Consider the following 26295-nt stretch of genomic DNA (forward strand, 5'->3'; position numbering starts at 1 on the left):
TTTATTGTTGTCTTAAGACATCTCAACCTTTAGCAATCATCACCCTGATCATTCAGCAGCCATCAACATTGAGCCAAGACCTTCTACCAGCAAGATTATGACTCACTGAAGGCACAGATGATCGTTAACTATTTTTAGCAATATCTTAAAATTAAGGTATGTACTTTTTAAAAACATAATGCTATTGCACACTTAATACACTACACTATGGTGTAAACATAACTTTTATATGCACTGGGAAACCAAAAAATTCATGTAACTTTGTTCATTATATTTGCTTTATTGTGGTGGTCTGGAACCATATCTTCCAGGTATGCCTGTGTTTAGTTACTGGAAATTTGATAAATTTTATGACTATTAGCTCTATTTTGAAATAATACAGAATGTTCTCCCTGTAAGGACGGAAAAAGAGAACTGACTTACTAATTCTGATTCTTGAGTCTGTTGTCCTCCCATAGATAAAATCAATGAAGCAATTCTTTATTTACCCCATGCCTCCAGTGAGCAAATCAGTGGGCCACAGATGGAGAGGTGATCATGATTGAGAAATGCTAACATTTATTTTGATGACTGAGGAAACTTTAGACAATTTCCTTTCATATGTGATTGTCTGGCAATCAGGGAACAAACTGGTTAAAAGACCAGAATTTGAACTGGGACGTAAAAACCTTGGGCTACTTTTTAATCAAGGGTCTGTCATTTCAAAGGAGTAGCAGGCAAGCAGAGAGGGTACTGAAGGAGCAAGAAGGCCAGTTAAGTGAGTCTCAAATGTGTACTTGTTTCAGGTGGCAGGCCCTTGGGGAGACTGAACTGGTTTCTGATATATAAGTCCAAGAGGATTTCCAGGTCTTCCCAGGAGCCTGGGATTCTACTCAATATACCCGGACTGCTCGGAAGATGTTCAGTGATACTTTTTAATGTTAAAGTTATATGCATAATTTCATATTTTTCTTAATAGTTTAAAAACATATTCCAGAACTGAGTTATTTATATCATAATTATCTGATATTTAGGATTACTGCCTTTGAGCTGAAGACTAAGACTTAGTTCACTATACTACAAGTCATTTACATGATATAGTCACTTAAATAATAAAGCCATTTAAATAAATAATATAGTCAAATTAAACTTATATTACCATAGCTTTTCATGAGGGAATTGTATGCTTCTTCCTTTTCATTTAATTCAGGAATCAATTCTAACACAGATTTCACAGTTGATGCCTAGGAAATTACATAAAGGTAATATTATGAAAACCGCAAATTAACAGTGAATTAGAACACTGACAAATCAACACTATATTAAAAATTTTCACAATAATTATAACAGAACTACCTATTAAATTTAATGCACTATTGTCCCTTGTATATTAGCATTTGATATTGACTCAATAATCTACAGCTAAAAGAAACCAGCATTTTTCCACAGGTTAATGCAATTCCACTTACATTTCTATGAATATTTTTCTAGAATATGATAAACACATTGCTTCTTTTGTCAAGTGGTGACCATACCAAGAAGTTATGAGATCCCAAGGGTAGAGAGATAACAACCCTATCTTTAGGTGCCACAACTGGTTGATGAAATTGTAAAGAATTCAGTTAAAACATTCTGAAGTGTTACACACTTGACATACAAAAAAGAGCATTTCCAGAATCTCACTGAAATTTTTACTTATTTCTTCCAGGAATATGCAGACTCGGCTATGGCTTTATTTCCTGTAGCGAGTGAATACAGAACTGCTATGCCGTAATGAATATCTGCTGAGTATTTCCCGCCCTACTCCAACGTTACTGGATAAACCCATGATGGATATATAAACATCTATGCCCTCTTCCCATCTCACCAAGAGGAGCAAAATCTGGCTTAACTATTCTACTGTCAAGCAATGGAACACTGTTAACAGGCATCTTAAAAATCCTAACTCCTTTCTATAGCATGTTTATTCAGTCAATCCACACCTGGACCTGCATCCTCCCAGGGCTTCTTCTATTTTAAACTGTCCTGGGTGGGATGTTCTAAGCAGACATATTGCCGTGCATTTCCCGTCCCATCTCCTGGACAAGGCAACAGGGACTTGGCACAGTCCCACAGGTGGACTGACAAGTGCTTTTCAGATTCCTTATACTTTTTAATCACACGTATAAAAACACAGCCTCTCTGAAAGGAAAGAAGGGGCAATTAAATATTTTCTAAAAGTTGTTGGTAGTAAATAAATACATGAGTCACAGATGCAATGAAGCAAATTTTTTAAAAGTGTAGGTATATCTAGGGGAAGGGTGTAGAAATTCAGGAAAACGTAGACCTCCCAAACTGGACACAGCCTAAATGTTTCAAATAAAACAAGCATCACAGTTGGCATGTGGTTTGAAACTTCATAAAGAACCCAAATAAACTAAGAATGTAGTTTCTCGTATACAAGAGGTAAAATCCGATCTAAGAGAAATTTAATTTTATACTTACAGTTAAACATCAAAGTAGAATGTGATATACCTACTATGTACCCACAGAAATTTTTTTTTAAAAAATTTTTTCAAAAGGACTTGGTTCTATTACATACCCACCCACCCCTTTTACAGTGTAAATAAAGTAACTGCACAAATTAGAATTAATTTGTGGCTCCATATCAATTTGAAAGCCAAGTGGCTCATTTACCTGATGGTTTATACCTGATAAATGCTCAAAAGTAGCCACGTGCTAGGAGACACTCTGGAGTGTACATTTTCCTTGGTAGTGCTTCTGCATTGTTAAATGTCCCAAGGTGACCGAAGCAACATAATTTTAATCTTCCATTTCTTTCTTTCTTTCTTTCTTTCTTTTTTTTTTTTTTTTTTTTTGTAAAGACCAGGTTTCGCCATGCTGGCCAGGCTGGTCTCAAACTCTGAAACTCCTGACCTCAAGTGATCCACCCGCCTCGGCCTCCCAAAGTGCTGGGATTACAGGTGTGAGCCACCATGCCCAGCCTAATCTTGCATTTTTTAAGGGCCTTTTCTTGGGGCTCTCAATGCATACCTGTGTAAGTGGAAAATTCCTGCGTGAACTTGTTTTACATTTCCAGTACAGCTAACAGACGACAAAACTGACTCTAAGTAGAGACAAGCAAAGTCTTGAATCTCTATAGTATTCTCAAATAAGGTCCTGAAACAACAGGCTTTTATGTTAAATTCAATACTTCTGAGCAAGGCACGTACAGTATCATTGATTTGTAAGCAGGTAAAGCACAGTACCTTTCCTTGTTTCCTAGAATTCCTAAGGAGGAACAACAACAAAATCGGGGTTTGTTCAGCAATTGCACCACATCTCTAAAAATTAAAACATTATTCAGTAAGTGAAGGTTTCTGATAAACAAGTGGATCAAACTGAATATTTCCAATTAAGAAAGTTCACAATAATACAGTAGTGTATTATTACCAATAGGAAGGCCTAATAGTCGACTATTATTTTTTAAGGCAAGAAAAAAGAAAACAAGTGCAAGCTATGCCAAGCTTTGGTGAATGCTGTCCTTGGCATTGCAAGTATAAAGTTTGTTTAAAAAGAAAAGGGAAAAATTAAACTAATGCTTCAACAACCACAGAATAAGGTTTAGGACTGCAAAGAAAGAGGAAAAAAAGAAACATTATTCCTCTCCAATTATACTGCCAAGCATTCACAAGTGAGCTAGGGATCATAAGGTTAATTATACATTTAATAAGGTGTCAGGGAGATAACTGCTCATTTCTTTATAAAAATTAAAATGTACAAAGCAAGTTCTCTTTAAAGTATAATTACCTACACTTATGCATACAAAAGGACTGATTTCAATCTCTCTATTTTATAAAAGGCTTTCACTGCAACAGACAGCCAGCGCTTGAGAAAGAGACCAAAGTTAAACTAAAAAAAAAAGTTTACATGACAGACCAGATAAATCAAATGTCTATCCAATCTTAGATGCTATAGTAAAATCAAATATGGCAAGACAATATTTTAGTTTACACTCATCACAGATGTCATTCTTTTAAGTTTCTAAAAGAACACTGCTCTTTCAAAGCTTTAAAACACTGTCAATACTAAAACGAATGGTATAAAAAGAACTTTTTGGGGCCACACAGAACATTTACATTACGCACTGATGTTTTTGACATCTGTGAATAAAGTATTCTTCGCTACGGCAAGAATAATCTTTTACTGTTTGACAAGCAGGTAAAGGATGGGTGAAGGGTTTATCATCTGAAACCCCAGTCTAGTGATGAGATGGTAAATGAAAAGACTCTGCTGTTGCATCAACACTCAGCTACCACCAAGAGCCCTTCAGTGAGGTCACTGCAGATAACGCAGTTCTTTCTGAGGGAGCAGGCGCCATCCCTGCTGCCACCCACCCAGGCGGCTGTCAATTGTGCTCTTCCAGAAAAACCTTGATTATGGCAGAGAACAAGCTAGTAGATGAAGTACCAAGTGCCACTTTCTAAAGAACTATCAAAAGGATGTGTTAAAACTGATTGCATACCATCATGTGTATAATTAGATATGTATATGCTTATTATACCCCTAGTAGGTACTTAGACATGTACATATGAAGATAAAGCATGAGTATCTTCCTTCTTTTTTTTTTCACCACGTAAGATAGCAAGATAAAACAATTTTAAAAGTCCTGAAATCCCTATCATAAACTGCCTTTTCCTTAAAATTAAAAAAAAAAAAAAAAACAAAGGAAAAAAAGTAAACAAGCAAAGCAAAACAAGAAAATTCCCAGTGAACCGGAATTTCCCTTCTCCAGCAACAAAAGTAAGAGTCTGAGAAGCAGTGCTAATTCACCCTTTATAAAACTGTTAACAGAGATACAGTTTTTCAGGTATTCCTTTTAAAAATGGATTGGATTCTACTGTCAAACTAGATGAACTTGAAGAATAAAAACTGGAGGTCAAGCACATGGGTAGTTTTACCTTCCCTATCTACTACTTAAGATCTTTCACAGCTGGTAAAAATGTAAGGGAATATAATACTATTTACGATCAGAAATTGGTCCCACGCCTCAATTTGACACAGGGAGTCTACACAAACACAGCCGTTGGCGGGATCACGGTGACTGTTTGACTGCCACCTGCTGGGAAGGGGCTCCCCGGCGGTGCCTGTTTGTGTACATTGCCAGTGGCAGCTAGGATCACCCACTGTTCTGTCGGCACTTGGCATAGCTTTATATTTAGTGCTGTTAAAATGGCATGAATGCAGTTGTCTCCTTCCCTGAAGGTTGCTAATTTAACTGAGAGTGCGGGCCACAGAGACCTGCATTTGTCATTTAATGTGTCTGTGACACACAAGTGAATAGAAAGCATATTCAACTCTTAATAAACCTTGAATAAGGCACTGAGAATGTTTGAGTATTCAAGTGAGAAGCTGTACTTGAAAAGCAAACATTTCCTACTTTTTGTTTGCAAACTGTGTTGCCATGGTGACGCACAGTATCTAGCGCATTTGAGAAATTAAAGTAGAAAATCAAAGGAATTGTTGTTTTGCATTATCTATCTGCACAGAAAGATTTGTCTTTAATCATTTCAGCGAAACTCGCTGCCCCATACCTACCCCCGCACCACCCGCCGCTCCCCGCTACCTCAATTCTAAAGACATTTCTAGTTTGATCTGGCATCTTTAAAACCAGTAACCTAAAATCTACCATCCAGTCCTTGTCCTGCAACCGTGATTCACACTGAATGTAAACAAGCTAGCTGCACACCACACTGAATTTCTAGTATTCCACCACACGCCTATGTCTAGTAATTTCTCAATTTACTTCTTGCAAGCCTCGAGCCCCACTGCTCCATGAGTGGAGGGTCATTACCTGTAGGAGAGCTCTGGCATCATCCACCTTGCCTGCATCCACAAGTTGAAGGAAAAAATCAGTGACAGGTTTATAAATTGCAAACTGATTGGCCAATCTCTCCGCCATGATGCTTACTGGAAAAATGACAGGTAAGAAAAATCTTTCATTAGAACAGTGGTATAACTCACCTACCAAAGAAATTTGGTCTAGTCTCACTAGAGAGAAAATGTGCTTGTGTGTTCTTTAGCACAAACAACTAACTTACTCTTTTCAACTGCTGGTTCCAACTGCTCCTCTATTACTTTTCTGAATAAGTATGCCAAGCCGAAGTATTGGGGTTCAATGACTTTATTCTCTGAAGTAAGCATATTTTCAATGTTTTCTATTGCGGCATCTATGTTATTACTGTTAAAAGCAAAATAAATTACTTAAAAATTTGCTTTTATGTTAATATTACAGGCAGTTTAGTCTAAGAACTTACTTTTATATCCACTCATGCTAATACTTTAGGAAAAAAATGAAATACATTTACACTTAACCAAATAAACACTAGGCAACTGAAACCCTGAATCACATTTAAGTAGCAAAAACATTCACTAGCTGGTTCGTGCTGCAGTGGTTGTTTATTTTGCTTCACAGCAGTTCAAATAGTTGCTTGTTTTAACAATGCTCTACAGACAAGATCAAACAACTATATACAGGAGAATTAATGAAGATAACTTTTAAAATTCTGTATCTTAAATATTTAACTTAATTTTTGCCACTCTTTGGATATAAAATGAAAACTTGTATAAATGCTACAATTTTGGCTTTATGATCCACAACTTGTCACTACTGCATAAAAATAGTATTTAACATCTCAGGATTCTTAAAGATACTGATGATGTTTCAAAAGGCATATATGCATGTCTCTAACTTATGGTCGCCTCAATTTCTTTTTGTCAGGTATTATACATTTGGAAAATACTCAGTTTATACTAAAAATCTCAGGAAAAAGTATCTTCACACTTTACATTGAAAAAAATCAGTTACATGGTCTTATTTAGCAAGTTATGGTAAAAATTATCTCTATGACTATCTTTTTGGTTAAGGTAATCTATAATGGATACTTTACTGTTACCATATGGCATACTAAATCCAATCAGTCAATATTGTGTTGAAATTATTATATTAAACATAATTCTCTAACTAAAAATGAATACTGTTACAATATATTTCTCTTACAAGTTTTAAGGAATTACTTAATAGTGAATATGTTCTCCGAATCATATAAAACTGTGTTTATGTGGTAAAACTTTAAAATTCACCCAGTTCTTAGATGAGTAATTTCTTCAATCTTCTAATGTAAAACAATCACATTTTCTTATTAAAGGGAAGTTCTATCTGGCGAAATAGTTTGAAAAGGTCAAAACAAAACACAACTGTTTCTCAAACAAACAAAAAAAAACCCCTACAAAAACAAACATTATATTTTAATATCATGTCCCATTAAATGTATGCAAGATTACTAAAGAACATTTTTTCTAAAAGCATACTGAAAGTATCAAATTCCATAAAGTACTTTGCTAGGGAGCTTATTAAAAATCAAGTCCTTATTTATTTCTACAGGGGTAATTCTCAAAAGGAATCTAGAGACAGTGGTAAGAAAATCAGCTCTAAATACCTCCCTTTTTGTGGGGGTGGGAGAGTGTTCACGGGGTGGGTAAGGAATATGAATACGGAAATGCACATTTTTAATAAGCTTGCGGGGCCTTCTGCTTCACAATATTCTACTAGTGTCCCTATCAAATATTACTGACAAACAAATGAGATCATTTTTCACTTCTGAACAAAGTGTTTCGACAACAAGAGGCCTGGCATATATACACAGGAATGAGAAAGGTTATCAACTGTGGAGCAAGATTTATGAATTTGGTAAATGCTGTTTATTCTAAGATTTAAGGTAAAGAAAAAACATATTTTTCAACATATAATTATTCCCTAATCAGCAACTAGCATCAACATTTCCTCTGCAGTTGATAAGGTTTCCACATGTCTAAAAAAGTTTTTAAAAGGTGGTATCTGAGGCAATGCCCATTCTAGTGACCAATGAAGGAAAAGAAGGCTTGCAAATACTCACTTCTTTATTTGAGCCAAAGCAATGTTATTGATGAAAACCATTTTTGAAAGTCCAATGGAGTCTTCGAGTCCATTTAACATCTTCTGAACTACTTCTATGTTTTCAACATCACCCTTCATGGCCAATGCCTGGATGACACGGGTCACTGCTAACCTAGAAGGGGTCTGCTGCTGATCCAATACTGTTTTCAGTGTTGTCACAGCCTCTAAAATACAAGAGCAGGAGATGGCTTTTCTTATATGACCTGTGCTGACTTTAATGCATTTTGAAAACCAGCTTTTAAATATGAGCACCAAATGGCCATAAACAAAAAGCTATGAATAATTAATTTTAGATTACAGAAAATTATTAATACTTCATGAGATACCCCCAAAAATTATTTACTTGACTATATAAGATATTAGAGGCCCGAGGAATTTCTTCTTTAAGTCACAGAGAAAATACAAATGTTACCGACAATATGAGTTCCATTTAGGGATAACATTCAGTGACTAAAGTTGGTAAGTTCAAATGAATACAAATAAGAAAGATTTTCTAGAGTTTCCAAAAATGTGTGACTTCTATCCATGTTCATACTTGTCCAGATTTTAACTCGAAGATTAAATGATCATCAAAACTTAATATCCCAACAATTCTTTCTCAAAAACACTAAAAACATTGATCCTCTAGGATCAATGTTCCAAACTGAAACATTGAACTTTAACACCAACAAATTTATTTTATGATTAGATGCCTTGTGATTATTTTCCTGCACTAAATTAAAAAATAATGCCTACTGATTTCCACAAATACAGACAGTCCCTGACTTACGATGGGTTTATGGGGTAGTTAATGCATTTTCAACTTTATCCCGACTTAGCCCCATCGGTAAGTTGAGGAGCATCAGTATAATCAATGGAGTTTTGTTTGTATGTTTTTTTGAAGTATCACACTTTCAAGTACTTGATTATAAATAACTATGGAATAGCCTTCTAGCTAACTGACTCATAAAACTGTAGCAAAATCATGATATGAAATAAAGTGGTAGACTGAGGAGTAGCCTAACAATCACCCCTACCATTATCGAAGAAAACTTAATAGCTTTATAGCAACTAAAGCAATGTAACTTAGACAAAACTAAGACTCTCCAAACAGCTTTCCAACTAAGAACAGCTTAGTTTTACAGAAAAATGGGGAAAGTGTATTAATTGAAGTGTACTCAAAATACAGTGGAAAGACATGATGAATTTAGTGTTCATTAATGAATAAAGAATTTATGATTATTTGAAATCTACAATCTTAAACCACTCATTCTCAAATGAGAAAAAAGAAAAACAGGTTAAAAAGCATAGTCAATAAAAATTTAAAAATACACATGCACATATAGGAAACAAAAAATGTTTTTATACTATTTAAAAATATTTATAATAAGCTTGATAAAATTTTGCTAATGGGTGGTCATACACAGATAATTATAATAATAGTCTTATTAACCAAGAATATTGTCAGCTAGGGAGGCTCTTCCCACAGTACATCAAAACAATAATAACAAAAATAAGATTAATGATGGTGATGACAGTAACTCAAACTTATTGAGCATTTACTACATGCCAGGCACAGCAGTTTAAACAGCTACTGTCACAACTACCCTTCCGAGACAAGTACCAATTTTACAGATGAGACCCCTGGGCACAGAGATTAGTTTGCCCAAGGTAAAATCATATTTTTAGACAAGACTCGAAGATTCCAATGATCCCAGAGCTTCCGTCTATGAGTGCGCGTGTGCACAAGAGAGCAGAAGGGTGGGGAGAACAGACCATTTCACATCTGTCTAAAGATAGCACAGGACCTTGTGACCTAAATCCTATTCTCATATAAGGCTTGCCTTCTGTACAGTTAATGACTTCAGGGACACCAAAAATGTTACCCATCCACATCCCTCCCCCCAGGTCCTTTCCCACTGTCACCTAATTCCAACATTTACTCAATTACTCACTAGTGATACTAATTACACTGTACAAGTGCCACGTATCAGCTATTAATATTCACCAACAGTAAAATTTAATCGGCTTTATTTTTTCTTTCTGCTTTAGATGGGGTTGAGAAAAGGAAACCTAAAAGAAAGGCAGAACAACGGAAGGGAATTTTTAAAAATCAAGAGCTCTCATCAGCCATGGAGCAAAATAAGAAGATGGGAATAGTGCAAACACTACTCCTGTCCTCACTGATGATCATTTTACTCTAACAACAGGTTTGTGGTGATGTGCTCAGGGAGGGGGGTGGGGTGGGGGTGGGGGAGGTAGTGCAGGAACAGTGCGCTCGAGGCTCCTGCTCTCAGGCAACCTCCAATTGAGCTGAACAGCTCAGAAGAGTAGATGAGAAATTATACCATGTCCTTTCCTGTAGCTTACACAGGGCACCTAACATAAAAATAAAGGGTACCAATCCAGCTGAAGAAATCTGGGTCAGGTTCAGCTGAAAAATGAACCCCCTGAAATTAGAAAAGTGTTTTGTTCTTATCTCCATGTCTACAGAAACAAAAGCTATTTATGACAATGAGCTTATTTATATGGCGAGCAAGTTTAACTTTTCATTGTTTTAAAATTGTTTATCATTTTATTACATAAAATACTAATAGGACATAAAGTCTTTTTTGGGGGGGCCGGGAGAAGGGTTTTGTTCTTGCCCAGGCTGAGTGCAGTGGCACCATCATGGCTCATGGCAGCCTCAACCTCCTGGGCTTAAGCAATTCTCCCACCTCTGCCTCCTGAGTAGCTAGAACTACAGGTGCACATTACCATGCCTGGCTATTTAAAAATTTTTTGTAGAGACAAGGTCTCGCTACACTGCCCAGGCTGGTCTTGAACTCCTGGACTCAAGCAATCCTCCTGCCACAGCCTCCCAAAGTGCTGGGATTACAGGTGTGAGCCATTGCGCCTAGCCACAAAAGTCTGGGCACAAGAAGTGTTTTCTATTCACTTACATATTCAGTACTAATCAATTAGGAAGACAGCTAAAGACCAGTACATTTAGGTATTATAAGCAACATTAAAGCTGCACAATTAAACAACAACTTCCTCTCAAGGATGTGAACTTATGTTATAAACATGCAGGCCGGGCGTGGTGGCTCACGCCTGTAATCCCAGCACTTTGGGAGGCCGAGGTGGGAGAATTATTTGAGGCCAGGAGTTCGAGACCAGCCTGGCCAACATGGTGAAACCCTGTCTCTACTGAAAATACAAAAATTAGCTGGGCGTGGTGGCGGGCGCCTGTAATCCCAGCTACTCAGGAGGCTGAGGTGGGAGAATCGCTTGAACCCAGGAGGCGGAGGTTGCAGTGAGCCGCGATCCCACCACTGTACTCTAGCCTGGGCAACAGAATGAGACCCTATCTCAAAAAAAACAAAAACAAAAAAAAAAAACAAAACAAAAAAAAACCCAAAACAAAACCAGAACATGCAGTGAGGAATAATACCATTATTACAGAGATAGGAAGCAATAAGGTTACATTTCCAGAGCTTTTTCAACCTTTCTTGAAGATCTCCTAAGTGGGTTTTGTTGTACTGGCAAAACTGCAGTATCACTGTATTCACTCAAATTCAAATGTAAATCTTAAAGTGGAAAGCTACTTAGCTAAATTTAAGAGATTCGTCATAGTGCCCCTTGGGAGATCATTCATAAGACCTCCACATCCCAATTCATCCCCTTCAAAACTCATAAACAGCCTCTATCAAACCAGTGGCCCCCACCCCAATCCCAATCCTCCCCAAAGTCATGTCCACATCTTTCAGGTGTCATTCTCTTAACATTAATTTGAAAACTCCAAACTTCAAACAAACACTGTATTTTATTGCTGTTGGTATTATGAACTATTAAAAAAGTATTAGATTAAGTTTTAAAAATCAATATTATAATCATTTGGTGCACAATCCCACACATTTAACACTCAATTTAACTGATTTGGTATCTCACACACAACCAACACAATATGCAAGAAACAACTGCTGGGAATTGTTTCAGATGCTCTAAAGTATGTTAATTTCCAAAGCAAAATGACTTGTGCTGTGAATTTTAACGCACTTGAAAGCCTGTACTTTCTCTCGTTCTGGAACACAAATTTTGCATGTCTGAAGAGCTGTGATTCATCTTAAGAAAACCCATCTTGTGTTAAATGGAATGGAAACTGGACTAAGTGGTCAAATGACAAGTACATTCATATTCAAGCTGTATTATAAATGCATGTACAGTAATTTATGTCTCTCAGCTACCACAAAAGGCTCTTGATAAGCAGGTAATTTGCTAAATGGACTCCTTTATCCAAGTATTCGAAGGGCGTTACAAGAAAAATCTGCAGAGGCATTAATGTGACGTAAAGGTCAAGCATTGTGACATACCTTTCAAATAATCCCGCCTAACTTGCGTTATGATGAGGCGGCTGTTGGCAGCATCGTTCAGTGTGAAGCCCTTGATGTGGGTCTCCGCGCTAAAAGAAGCAGACATTTAGAAAGGAATTACTGACATGCTTCTGATACGATAATAAATGGTTGAGCACCAAGGTGAAATTATAAAAACTACTGTTCGTATGTTAAAAATATTGCTGCAAAATATCGACCTGGAGACAGCTTTTGTGTTATCCTGTCAATGGTTATAGAAGGATAATTTTTTTTTGCATTCTGACAGATGACAAAGTTGGAAATGAGCAACAAAAGAAACAAAGTACAAGATTTTTTTTAAACAATCGGTTCAGATTCTTGAATGCTGACATATTAGATGACTAAAATAACTGCGTGCCCCGCATTGTTCTGCCATATCCTAAGCTGGATACTTTTTTTTTTCTACATTCACAGTAATTATAAAATGTAAAAATCTTCTTCCAGAAACTAAAATGAGGATTTATTTTCAGCACTGTACATTTTAAATAAAAACTAAAGCAGATTACTAACACTCTATCATTTGGTCAATTAATTTTCAAATTTCTGCCATCTAGATTCATACAGTTTCTGAAGCTGAACATACTGCAGAACTCAAACTATTGGTACTTTAAAATTAAAAATTTCACACAACCATCTTGCCCTAGCTTAAGTTTGAAACAAAACACCAACTTTTAAAACTCAAGAGCAAAAAATCACTTGACTTTTCAATAAAACCTACAGGATTTAAAAAAAGCAAAATGAAACAACAAAAACAAACAGAAAACCCCAAAACCTAGCTGGAGATTTCTGTTTGCTACACTGTTTGCGCATCTCCTGTGATGAAATTTCTGCATCCTTAATGCTCCCAGAGTTCATCTCCGGATTAGAAAATCTAAACAGGTCAAAAGGAGCAAAAGCAATTGCTCCCATTTGCCTTATCGAGCTCAGTGATGACCCTGTTGCCAACAACAGCATGCCCTGCCAACACGGACATATAAGCTGGGCAGATTGCAACAAAAGTGGGGTCACTGCTAAATTATTTTCATCAATCCCAAGAAAATCCCCCAGAGACACTACGACATGCCCATTCTCTCAGTCACTTTCAGCCTCTAAGGTCCACCCCTGCAGTCCCTGGACACAGGATTTTCTTATTCCTCCGACCAATCCTCTTTATCCCACCAAAGTACCCATTGCTCAGTTTGACTTTTCTCCCTTTGTCCCATCTGTCAACAACTTAAGTCAACAACTCATGCATGAGACTAAGAATTGCACAAAGGATTTACTTTCTCAATCTTTCACATGATTAAATAAAAATGAGACACTATTAAAAGCTCACTTCTAATATTATTACATGTATTATACCATATTAATTTAAAAATATTCACCTACAATTCATTAAAACCACAAGGCAACAAAACTTGTCTTTGACACTAAGTATGAACTACAAACCTTTCAAAAACCTCAAAGCCTGTAACATTCTTTTTCAATAATCTCTTCCTCTCTCAAGCTGCCTGCTCATTACAAATATGAAAGTGGAGATAAATATCAGGAAGAAGAAACCCCAGATCTATTCTATAATAATATATCCTACATATGTAGAAACTGACCAATTACAACCAAAACAGATTCCAAAGTGGCAAAAGGAAAAAATTTTAAAAAGTTGCGGGTAGAGATCTTTATATTGGAATCATTTATACAATATAATAAAAGACATTAACTTTTCACACCTAATTTTGATCTTTCCTTCTGGAAAAAATCGAGTCCAGAGCTCTCAAATCAAACTTCCTGTGATGATGGGAATATCATCCAATCATCCAATAACCCTATTGGCTGTCCAATAGGGTTAGCCACTAGCCACATGGCTACTCTGATGAAGAAACAGAAATCTTAATTATATTTTATTTTAACTAATTTAAATTTAAGCAGTCACATATGACTAGTGGTTACTGAACTGGATAGCAGAGAATTCTAGACATTTTATTTTTAGAACTGTCAAAATGAAGGGAAAAAAATTATAGGGGAAAAAGAGTACCCTCTTTCAATTTACGACCAACTGCAAAAATTAAACTATCTTAACCAAAGAAGACAGTATTATAGGGAAACTTTCACATTGGACATTTCAGAGAATTTATTGCTCTGAAATGACAGCCTTTCAAATTTAGGAGAAGTTTTGTTGCCTTATGGTTTTAATGGATTAATGGATTTTAGGTAACACTTTTAAGTAAATATGGTATAATACATGTAAAAATATAGGCATGAGAAGTGAGCTTTCATGTAAGCAATGACTGTGCTTACATAATATGCAGAAAGGACATTAGTTGGTGATTATATTATTTAGGATAACAAAAACAGGCCAATTCAACAAAAATCATCAGTGACAGATATAGCATTATTTCCGAACAGAATGATACAGGAAGCCAAGAGGAACGACAGAAAATCAAGTGCTACTCTCAAAAGATAAAGTAGGGTTGTTGTTACATGATTCCTAAATTCCCTAAGAATATGGTTTAATGTTAGCAGAGATTTAAAAAAAGAGTTTATATCCCTTACTGCTCTTTGAATCAGTGGTTTCCCTCCCTTGAAAGAATTCACTACAGATAAATTATTTTGAAACATGAAGAAACTAAAAATGAAAGAAAGATGGCTTATTGAACATTTTTAAAAGTTACTATTACTTTAGAGGTTCCATGGCTTATTGGGAAGGTTAAATGACTTTGTAAATAAAATTGAAGAAATCTTATTAGAGGTCAAGTGTATCTGTAACACATTAGATGACAACAAAGGCAAAATAAAAATGATATTTTTTTTAATTCATAGGAAAACTATGGCCTTTTTTTTTTCTCACTCTGTCACTCAGGCTGGAGTGCAGTGGCGCAATCTTGGCTCACTGCAACCTCCGCCTCCCGGGTTCAAGCCGTTCTCCTGCCTTGGCCTCCTGAGTAACTGGAATTACATACAGGCACGCACCACCACGCCTGACTAATTTTTCGTATTTTTAGTAGAGACAGGGTTTCACCAAGTTGGCCAGGCTGGTCTTGAACTCCTGACTGCAAGTGATCCACCTGCCTCTGTCTCCCAAAGTGCTGGGATTACAGCCACGAACCACTGAGCCACCATGCTCGGCCAAAACTATGGCTCTCAAGGTTGACCAAGTGACCTTATATAGGAAACTGTAAAAACAGCTATTTATGGATCCAGAGTAAGACTGCCAGAATAATACTAGGGCGGTACCGCCACTTGCTACAGTAGCTCATTTGACCACCATATTATAATAAAGTTGCCTATAAAAAAGCAGCAGTTGTTTTTCACTCTGATCACTGATACAGAATGGGAAATGGGAAGAGAGGACCTAGTTGGCAATAAACAGGAACCGAACCCACAAAATATCTCTTGAAATATCTCAAGTAACATAGTTAGTTGGATAATTCGTAACTTGAACTTTCACTTCTGAATTTTCAGTCCAGCATTATTTTTAAAAGTACTCAACAATTTAACCCATGAAACAATTCTACATAGTTAGATATAACATTTTATTGGTTCAAGGGAGAGGACATGCATCCAAAGCCCAGATTGACTTCAGGCTTTGGATCTTGGGTTCTCTTGGGTAGACACAGACGCACGGAGGAAGGCAACTCCCAAATAACCCTGGTGGATAACACAGCTAAAAGAAAAGTCTCACTTGTATGTCAAACTCAGAAGCAGAGTATGATGGTAGACACCAAAGACTGGGAGGAGGGGAAATGAGGAGATAATGGTTAAAGTACAGAGTTTCAGTTATGGAACATAAGTAAGTTCTGGAGCTCTATACAGCATAGTGCTAACAGCTAACAATACTGTATTTATACTGAAAATTGCTAAGAGGATAGATCATAAGTGTTCTCTCTCACACAAAAAAACCCAATTAATAATAATAATAATAATAATAATAATAATAATAATATTGAGGGTGGGAAAAAACTCTGGAAGGGGAAGGATATGTTTGTGGCCTTGAAGTAGGCAATGGTTCCAAGGGTGTATACTTATCCCCAAACTCACTGAGATAGATACATTAAATATGTATCTTTTTACATGTCAATTTTATCTCAGGAAGGCTTCATAAAGATCTAGAGAAGAAGGGAAGAAGATAAACCTATGTTTCACAGGTTGTAAATTTAAGGCAAATAGACGGTCATGCTTACAACTATCTTCCAGGTCAGCAGTTTCAACCTTGGTAGATCAAGATCCATGGGAGGATTATAGTAAGAAATGATGTTTTACATAGACAACCCAATCCACAGATACATACACACACGCATAACTGAAAGCAACTTTTCATGAAATAATATCTTTACTACAGGAAATACTTTGAAATAGTCTATACTATTTCATTGAAACAATGTTGGTTCTGTCCCACTTAATAGATGTCATGACCCACTAATTGGCTGCAATTGCAGTTTTGAAACTACTCTAGACCAGTGGTCTTCAATGAGCAGCATGCACACTGCATGAACACTCCAGGGTAAGGCAAGGAAACCTTTACATCTCTCTCCCTTTTTTTTTTTTGAGACAGAGTCTTGCTCTGTCACACAGGCTGGAATGCAGTGGCGCGATCTTGGGCTCACTGCAACCTCTGCCACCCAGGTTCAAGCGATTCTCCTGCCTCAGCCTCCTGAGTGGCTGGGATTACAGGCGCCTGCCACCACACACGGCTAATTTTTATATTTTTAGTAGAGATGGGGTTTCACCATGTTGGCCAGGCTGGTCTCGAACTCCTGACCTCAAGGGATCCTTCCGCCTTGGCCTCCGAAAGTGTTGGGATTACAGGCATGAGCCAACGTGCCTGGGCTTAAATCTCTTTTTAAAAATTTCACCTTATGAAGATTTTCTATTTTGAGTATGTTTTATAATATAGTTACATGTGATACATCAAGTACAATTTGTTATTAATCACATGCGATCAGAATGCTTAAGACATGATTCTTCAATCACTTGGGCTATGGAGTAAAATGTACATTCTCAGGCCCCACACCAAATTGGCTGAATCAGAATCTTTGTGGTGAGCTGAGAGGAATCTTCTTATGCTACCAGAGTAAGTATCACTGTTCTAGAAGAAACCCAATGAAAATGAAAAAATAAATAAATAAATAAAATTAAAATCTGTACTTTCAGGAAGCATTTCAGAGGTCTTTGTGACCAAACTCAAAATCTAATTTTTTTTAAGTTTTCTGTCTTTGCTTCTATCTCATCACTTAATCATACTTAATTCTCAACACAAAATGCTTCTCTTTTTTCTGGCTCTCCTTCATTATCACAGAGAGGGTTGGGATGGAGAGTTTCATAATTTTCTGAGAAAAGTAATTTTAGATGATCCACACCCTTGACCTAGTGGTTACAGATGACAGGATACTGCTCACTGTCAAATTTTCCAAGTCACTAATTAAGGGTATATCGAGTGTTCTAGATATATATATATATATATATAAAATTTGATTAGGAATTGAGAAAACACACAAATGACACACAGAGTACATTAAAAACCCAACAGTCCTAGTGCGACTCTTGTATCAAGACATACAAATGATGATTCAAGACAACACACATATACACACAGACAAGTACAGTCATACAGAACATGTTTTTCAACATTAAAACACAGACACTAAATACGGCCCTATGATGCATAACTTTAGCAACACTAGGACACTGCCAGGTTTTCTTGTGATGTGAAAGGATGGCAGGCATCCATTTTCTGCTTAGGATTCTAATATTCTAAAAGTGCTGCGGACTTAAAATTTTTTTCAGATTATTCCTTTTCTTTTCTTCTTCTTCTTCTTCTTTTTTTTTTTTTTTTTTTTTGAGACAGGGTCTCGCTTTGTCACCCAGGCTGGAGTGCAGTTGCGCAATCTCAGCTCAACGCAACCTCCACCTCCTGGGTTCAAGTGATACTCCTGCCTCAGCCTTTTGAGTAGCTGGGATTACAGGCACATGCCACCACGCCCAGCTAATGTTTGTATTTTTAGTAGAGACAGGGTTTCACCATGTTGGCCAGGCTGGTCTTGAACTCCTGACCTCAGGTGATCCACCCACCTCAGCCTCCCAAACTTGTGGGATTACGGGCATGAGCCACCGCGCCCAGTCAGATTTCTTTTTTTTAATCCAAAAACAACACGAAAGGAGGGGGAAACACAAATAAGATGTGTTCAGTACCTATGTTTTCTCTACTTCACTCTACCTTCTTCAACACATAGAAGAAATCTTTAATATTAAGTAATATTATCATACACTCATCATACGGAAGAAGAACTAAGGATCAGAGATAGCAGGTAATTTTCCCAAGGTCACAGAACTTTTAAGTAAGATTCAAATCTTGGTCTAAGTTCAAAGTCCATGGTGTCTTTGTTTTCTCAGGCTGCTCCCACCACAAAAGGTACATGGATTTAGATGTTGAACAAGGAACAGAATATAATAAAATTACTTTTCTGTGCATGGATATCTTAAATGAATTGTGATGGAATATAACTTAGTAAGCAAAATGTACTGCACTGTATATGGCCAGTAAAGGTGTTTTTTTTTGAAGGTGAAAAAACCTGATAAAGTTAGTTAACCATTTCATATGATTTTTATGGGTAGCTGAGGCCAATCAAGCAATTTTACTACACAGCACATTACTATTATAATTATTGGCTAATGGCAGCCAATATTCTTTTTTAAACAAGAGGTTTAATAAATGGACTAACACTTACAATGCTTTCACTTCCATTGCTTGTGTAAAATAATCTTCTGACATCAGTAATTTAATGAGATTGCTGTAGGTTTCAGCATTAAACACAATGTTTTGCTCTTTTGCATTCAGGAAAATATCATATGCCCCTATGAGAGAAAACAGACAAAAAAAATGAGATGACATTATTCTGAAATGCCAAAAGGATGGAAAAAATCCTGAAACAAAGACCTAAACCCAAATATTTTTGCTTTTTAATACCAACCCACTGTTACCACTCTATAGAGAGACACACTGACATAATTCTTCAAATATTTTAAAGACAAAGCTACAGGTTTGGAAACTACACCTTAATCTGAATGGATGGTGCCTGAAGGGGTTTCCTCTTAAAATGATTTCTCATACCAGCTTTCTTAAGTTGATACATTATTTTCTTTGTAATAAAAATGAGAAACAGCTCTTCTGAATTTATGAAAAGACGATACTAGTTTCAAAATAAATCGCAAAATGTGTGTTAAAGTCCAAATAAACCAGAGGTATAATTTAGATTGAGGGGAGCAAAAGATTCATTTTAAAGCAATCTTTAATCTATAAGTGGGTGGTTACAATGGTTAACATTTCAGCACAATAGCACTAAAGAGAATATAGCCTATAATTCTAAAATTAGGAGATCACATTATTTGGCTACGACAGGACTTATACAAAAACATACAATTTTCAAATATACAGATATCTAACAAGTAAACTAAGCAACATTTGTTTGACTGATTAACAGTTTTATTTCACTTGTTCACAATAACTGTCAGTGAATGAAAAGATGTTACCAAAAGAGAAGTAACTACACTTTTCAGTCACTTATACTTTTCTGAAATAAAACTGCCTGGCTATAAACAGCCAACTGAAACTACAATCTACTCCCTTCTGTGGATAAACAAATCACAATAAAGATGGGGCATAAATGAACTATCACGTACGGCCTTCTACGAATATAGGGCTCAATGTAAGGAAATATAAAACTTCTAATTAAGACAGAACATGATATTATTTAATGTTCAGAAGAACATTTTAAGCTACTTTAGAAGTTTCTGAACAGGCGAAAATTGTTACGCTTCTATGTATGAGTTAGGGAATGTGTGCATTAGTCCCTTAATTAAACTTAAGTGGCACTGTCAAAGAAATATTTATCCCTTTAAGCTAAATTTGGAGAAAAAAATATACGGCAACATTTATATTTGCATCTTAAGGAGAACAGTTTGGGCAAGTGAAAGTAACAATGGCAGAGATTTATCACATTTCAAGTCAGTCTTCCATAGAACAGTCCCTGTTAGTCATTAAATTTCCAAGTGCTTTACACTAGATTTCTATGGTTGTGAACAACTGTATATTCCAGGACACTGGCAAAAAACGGAAAATAAAAACACGCTAATATGCAAGAAGAAACTCCACTATCATTTACTGATTATTCCATCAGATACCTAGTCTATTCGGTGTATTTCACTTTTCTGAAACGGGAGAAAATAAAGACATATTTTCATTTGAGTACCAGTATCAATGCATCACAAATTTAAGACTTTTATTTACTTATTAAAGTCACAGAATGGCTTGCTAAATAAAATATTTAAACCATGACACACAATAAGATGACTGCAATAAAATCTGCCATTCAATACCCAATGCTTTTTAGGGGGCTAAAAACTTAAGATGTAATGCAATTATTGTCAACTTCCTAACAATCGTATATAGTATTTCACTTGTTTGGAAACTCTTGTTGTTTTCTAAAACTGTGGCCTTCACATTAACTTGGTGTGGCTGTGTAATTAGTCCCTGTTAGTTTTTTTTTTAATTAGCATTTTAATATACCAAACCCATTCACCGCACGTTTGTTTCCAATGTGACAATCACGATATACCTTTAAGTAGACTGAACTACCAGAAAAATGTTAATGTAAGCATTCAATTTTCAAAGCATTCATATTTTACTAAACATTCGAATCCTGAGATATACAAAAAAAGAAACAGGAAACTCTGAAGAGTTATGGCCAGGCACAGTGGCTCATGCCTGTAATCCCAGCACTTTGGGAGGCCAAAGTAGGAGGATCACTTGAGGTTGGGAGTTCGACACCAGCCTAGACAACGTAGTGAAACGCGGTCTATACCAAAAATACAAAAATTAGCTAGGGGTGGTGGGGGGTGCCTGTAATCCCAGCTACTTGGGAGGCTGAGGCTGGAGAATCGCTTGAACCCAGGAGGCAGAGGCTGCAGTGAGCTAAGATTTGCGCCACCGCACTCCATCCTGGGTGATAGAGCAACATTCTGCCTCAAAAAAAAAGAAAAGAAAAGAATTAACAGGATGAAACCAATTAGATAAATGAAAATTCCAGAATAGAGGTAGCTCCACATTTATAATACACACTGCATTGTATTTAATTATTTAACTACTTAAATGTTTTCACTTAAACTGTACACTAACCATATATTCATTTTAGTCATTTAGCTAAATCAAAGCTTCACCAGAGGACGGGCGTGGTGGTGGCTCATGCCTATAATCCCAGCACTTTGGGAGGCTCAGGTGGGCGATCACTTGAGGTCAGGAGTTTGACACCAGCCTGGCCAACATGGTGAAACCCTGTCTCTACTAAAAATACAAAAAAAAAAAAAAAAAAAAAAAAAAATTAGTCAGGCATGGTGGTGGGTGCCTATAATCCCAGCTACTTGGGAGGCAGGAGAATCACTTGAGTCCAGAAGGCAGAGGTTGCGCCACTGCACTCCGGCCTGGGCAACAGAACAAGACTCTCTCTCTCTCTCTCTCTCTCTCTCTCTCTCTCACACACACACACACACACACACACACACACACACACACACACACAAGTTCATCAGAACATTTACATAGTATTAATCAAGCTTAATTTTATACTTCGCTTTCAAAGATGCATAGTGTGTACTCAAAGATATATAGACTGAATATGCAGCAAAGGAAAATGCCTCAGAATGGGCCGGGCATGGTGGCTCACGCCTGTAATCCCAGCAACTTCGGGAGGCCAAGGCGGGCAGATCACGAAGTCAGGAATTTGAGATCAGCCTGGCCAATATGGGGAAACCCTGTCTCTACTAAAAATACAAAAACTAGCCGGGCGTGGTGGTGTGCGCCTGTAGTCCCAGCTACTTGAGAGGCTGAGACAGGAGCATCACTTGAACCTGGGAAGTGGAGGTTGCAGTGAGAATGCACCACTGCTCTCCACCCTGGGTGACAGAGCAAGACTCCTTCTCAAAAGAAAATGACTCAGAATGAATAAAAAGTTATACTATAGGTAACTGAGGAGGCATAAGAACTTATTTTTACTTCATACATTTTACATCAATGCCACAAAATTTCTTTCTTTCTTTTTTTGAGATAGGGTCTCACTCAATCACCCAGGTGCGATCATGGCTCAATGCAGCTTCAACCTCCGGCTCAGCTGATCCTCTCACCTCAACCTCCTGAGTAGCTGGGACTATAGTCCTGTGCCACCAAGCCAGGCTAATTTGTGTATTTTCTGAACAGATGGGATACCACTAAGTTGCCAGGCAGGTCTCAAACTCCTGGACTCAAGTGATCTGCCCACCTTGGCCTCCCAAGTTGTTGGGATTATAGGCATGAGCCTGCAAGCCTGGCCAAACCTTCTAGTTAAGTTAGGAAATTAAGAAGTTCTATAAATTTCTAAATTGATTCCTTTCCAATAAACCTCAAAACTATCAATACTAAAATAAAAAAATTCTCTTGTGTTTATTTCCTTAATGGTAAACTATCATGAACCATCCTTGAAATCCACCCCAAAACTGAAGGAATCATTCTATGGAAAGCTAGAATGAAAAGAAATTAACAAAAGTAAAGAAAATAAGAGTAATATATGATTCTGGAACAGTATAAGAAGTCTAAGTAAAAACATAAAATTCAACTTACAAGCTCATAACAGAGGGTTAAAGACGGTCATAAAAAATTTAAAGTAGGCATAATAAAGGTGAAGATGTCTTCAGGAAAGTTTAATACTAGAGAAAGGGAAAGAGTCAAGAAACAGACCTCTAACCTTGAGATATTGCTGGATCACTTCAACACATACTAGTATAGTAATTAATGCCTTAATCATTTTTTGCTTTCAAGTAAGTTATAATATGTGCCACAAAAAGTTATTTTCAAAAAATACTTTTAATAAAAATGTATGCCAACAATAGCATTTATTACGAAAAATTTCATATGTACAGCAAAGTATGAAGAATAGTACAGGTTGGGGGTGGTGGCTCATACCAGCAATCCCAACACTTCGTGAGGCCGAGGTGGGAGGACCACTTGAGCTCAGGAGTTTAAGACCAGCCCGGGCAACATAGCGAGACCTTGTCACTACAAAAATTGGCTGAGTGTGGTGGTGTGTGCCTATGGTCCCAGCTACTTGGGAAACTGAGGTAGGATAACTGCTTAAGCCCACGAGGCGGGGGCTGCAATGAACCATGATTGCGCCACTGCACTCCAGTCTGGGTGACAGAGTGAGACCTGTCTCCGGGGGGAAAAAAAAAAAAAAAAAAAGAATAGTATAATGAACCTCACCTTCCATATACCCATCACTTATATCTAACAATTAACATCTTACTAGATTTGCTTTTTTTTTTTTTTTTTGAGACGGAGTCTTACTCTGTCGCTAGTCTGGAGTGCAGTGGTGCGATCTCGGCTCACTACAACCTCCATCTCCCCGGTTCCGGTGATTCTCCGGCCTCATCCTCCCGAGTAGCTGCGATGACAGGCATGCACCAACATGCCCGGCTAATTTTGGTATTTCTAGTAGAGATGGAGTTTCACCATGTTGGCCAGGATGGTCTCCATCTCTTGACTTCGTGATCTGCCAGCTTTGGGAGGCTGAAGCCTCCCAAAGTGCTGGGATTACAGGTGTGAGCCACAATGCCCGGCCTGCTTCGTTTTTTATAGCTTAAGCATTTTTAAATACATTATAGAAATTTTGACTTTTTTCATCCCTCAATAACTCATGTGGATCTCAAAATTTCAGAACATTTCCCTATAAGTAAATCATAATACCATTATCACATCTAATAAAAATAAGAGTAATTCCGGCCAGGCATGGTGGCTGATGCCTATAATCCCAGCACTTTGGGAGGCCGAGGTGGGCAGATCACGAGGTCAGGAGATCGAAACCATCCTGGCTAACACAGTGAAGCCCCATCTCTACTACAAATATAAAAAATTAGCCAGGCGTGGGGGCGGACACCTGTAGTCCCAGCTACTCAGGAGTCTGAGGCAGGAAAATGGCGTGAACCCAGAAGGCGGAGCTTGCAGTGAGCTGAGATCACGCTACTACACTCCAGCCTGGGCGACAGAGTGAGACTTCATCTCAAAAAAAATAATAAAAAGAGTAATTCCTTAATATTATCTACCACTCAGTCAATAGTTAAATTTTCCCAATTGCCCCAAAATGTTTTCGTTAAAGTATGGAAGGGGACAAGAAATATGTAAAATTTAAGTCCTATCTCTATCCTAGAGCACTTCTAATTGGTTGGGCTTACACCCCACACTGCTATTAGAAAGAAGACCACCCCCCCACACACACCCCCATCCCCGTATGTGCTTGCCTTTTTTTTGGTTCAATCGGCAGGCAATCAATATATCTTTCTGGAAATCAGGTTCTGTGGTTGAGGCTGACGAAGAATTCAGGGAATGTTTTTCATCTTCATACCACAACTTTAAAACAAAGTTATTCTGTTAAATAAAAACTGGTAATCTTTTCAATATAAAAGTAGGCTAATCTATAACCTAATTATACTGACAACAAAATCTGTTACGATTATGCCAAAAACAATTACCTCAGGTACGTCAAACGGAACTTCCTGGTTACCCTCTCTAAGGATTTCTGCTAATAATCTTAATGTCTTTTCACGAGGAATAACATTTTCTTCTTGGATTTTATTCCAGACTGCATCAGCTCTTTGCCAGTCACCGTTTATTTCTGTAGAATTTGATTAAGCAGAAATTAATCAATAAATATGCTAAACAGAATACACAAAAATATTTAGAACTTTTTCTTATTTGATGTTGAAGAAAGCATTATTCCAAATGCTGCCTTTAGGGAAAGGAACCAAAAGTGACCGTGACCCGAAGTCGAGAAGGGAACTTTTCTCTGTACTTCTGAATTACAAACCAAAAATACCCTACCTATTAAAAAGCAATAACAAGAAGCCCCCATCACACTTTATTACACACTTCCAATCATGTTGATAAGAAGTTTGTCTTTTTAATGTTACTGAGAAAGTGCCTACTGCCGAAATCAAAATCAGAAACAGGTGACAATTCAACTATGACCTTTAGCGTTGCAAAGATCCTGGAAATATATATATATATAGATATATATATATATATAGATATATATATATCTATATATAGATATCTCTATATATAGAGATATATATATAGATATAGATAGATAGATATATGGCATATGCCACCATATACATACATACATACGTGTACCGTATGCAATATACATATATCTGTGATTGTATGCAGTGCATACGGTATACATATATCTATGATCTTTGCAAAGGCTACAGGTACTGGTCCGTGGTCTGTTAGGAACCGGGCTGCACAGCAGAATGTGTACGGTGGGTGGGCAAGTGAGCATTACCCGCTGAGCTCCACCTCCTGTCAGATCAGCGGCAGCATTAGATTCTCATAGGAGTGCCAACTCTATTGTGAACTGCGCATGTGAGGGATCTACGTTGTGAACTCCTTATGAGAATCTAACTAATGCCTGATGATGTGAGGTGGAACAGTTTCATCCCCAAACCATCCCCATCCCCCACCACAACCTGGTCTGTGGAAAAATTGTCTTCCATGAAACCAGTCCCTGGTACCAAAAAGGTTGGGGGCTGCTGCCGTATAGTACACAGCTGTGGTGTGTACTAAAATGATTGCAAGTGTGTAATTCTCTTTACAAGTGACAAATCTACAAACCTTTTCACTTAGTTGAATAGAGAATTGTCTATGTTTCTTGTGTTGACATGAAGAGTTTCTATGACCCTGTGTGATACATGGAATCTTCTTAGATTTCTTATCTCAACTGATAATGTTATCAGACTATTACAAGGGCTGGGAAGGAAATAGGCAGATCCCTTCATATTGAAAAGCCCATTTCCTTTCATGTGGTAATCTAGTCTTTACAAATAGCAAAAACTCCAGAATCAAAACTTTGTTTTTAGAAATTCTCATGGTTGGAAGAGGAAACATCAAGTCATTTAATATAATAAATTAGT

The 26295-nt window shown here is 37.1% G+C and overlaps 1 protein-coding gene and 1 pseudogene across 5 annotated transcripts in view, besides 1 other annotated feature; one reads left to right on the forward strand and one right to left on the reverse strand.

The window, feature by feature from the left end:
- Nucleotides 1–26295, reverse strand: part of LRPPRC (leucine rich pentatricopeptide repeat containing) — a 110042-nt gene that overhangs the window by 7183 nt on the left and 76564 nt on the right. For 4 of the 5 annotated variants that reach the window (XR_007068563.1, XM_047442809.1, NM_133259.4 and 1 more), the window contains exons 28-36: nt 24850–24992; nt 24619–24727; nt 19026–19152; nt 12286–12374; nt 7914–8118; nt 6060–6199; nt 5813–5928; nt 3228–3302; nt 1139–1223 (exon numbers count right to left, since the gene is read on the reverse strand). Coding sequence is in view for 4 of the 5 variants with exons in the window: in XM_047442809.1 (XP_047298765.1) it covers nt 1139–1223; nt 3228–3302; nt 5813–5928; nt 6060–6199; nt 7914–8118; nt 12286–12374; nt 19026–19152; nt 24619–24727; nt 24850–24992 (1089 nt within the window). In the remaining variant the exon portion in view is untranslated. Of the gene's footprint in view, nt 1–1138; nt 1224–3227; nt 3303–5812; nt 5929–6059; nt 6200–7913; nt 8119–12285; nt 12375–19025; nt 19155–24618; nt 24728–24849; nt 24993–26295 lie in introns of those variants that run through there. The other variant, XM_006711916.4, reaches the window with a different exon arrangement.
- Nucleotides 4964–5258: an enhancer, noted in NCBI's record as "tiled region #9630; K562 Activating non-DNase unmatched - State 17:Gen3'". NCBI's record gives its function as "activates a minimal TATA promoter and a strong SV40 promoter by Sharpr-MPRA in K562 cells {active_cell/tissue: K562}" and the evidence as "EXISTENCE:reporter gene assay evidence [ECO:0000049][PMID:27701403]".
- Nucleotides 11006–11287, forward strand: RN7SL455P (RNA, 7SL, cytoplasmic 455, pseudogene; annotated as a pseudogene).

The sequence above is a fragment of the Homo sapiens genome, chromosome 2 (assembly GCF_000001405.40).
Source record: "Homo sapiens chromosome 2, GRCh38.p14 Primary Assembly".
Lineage (NCBI taxonomy): Eukaryota > Metazoa > Chordata > Mammalia > Primates > Hominidae > Homo > Homo sapiens.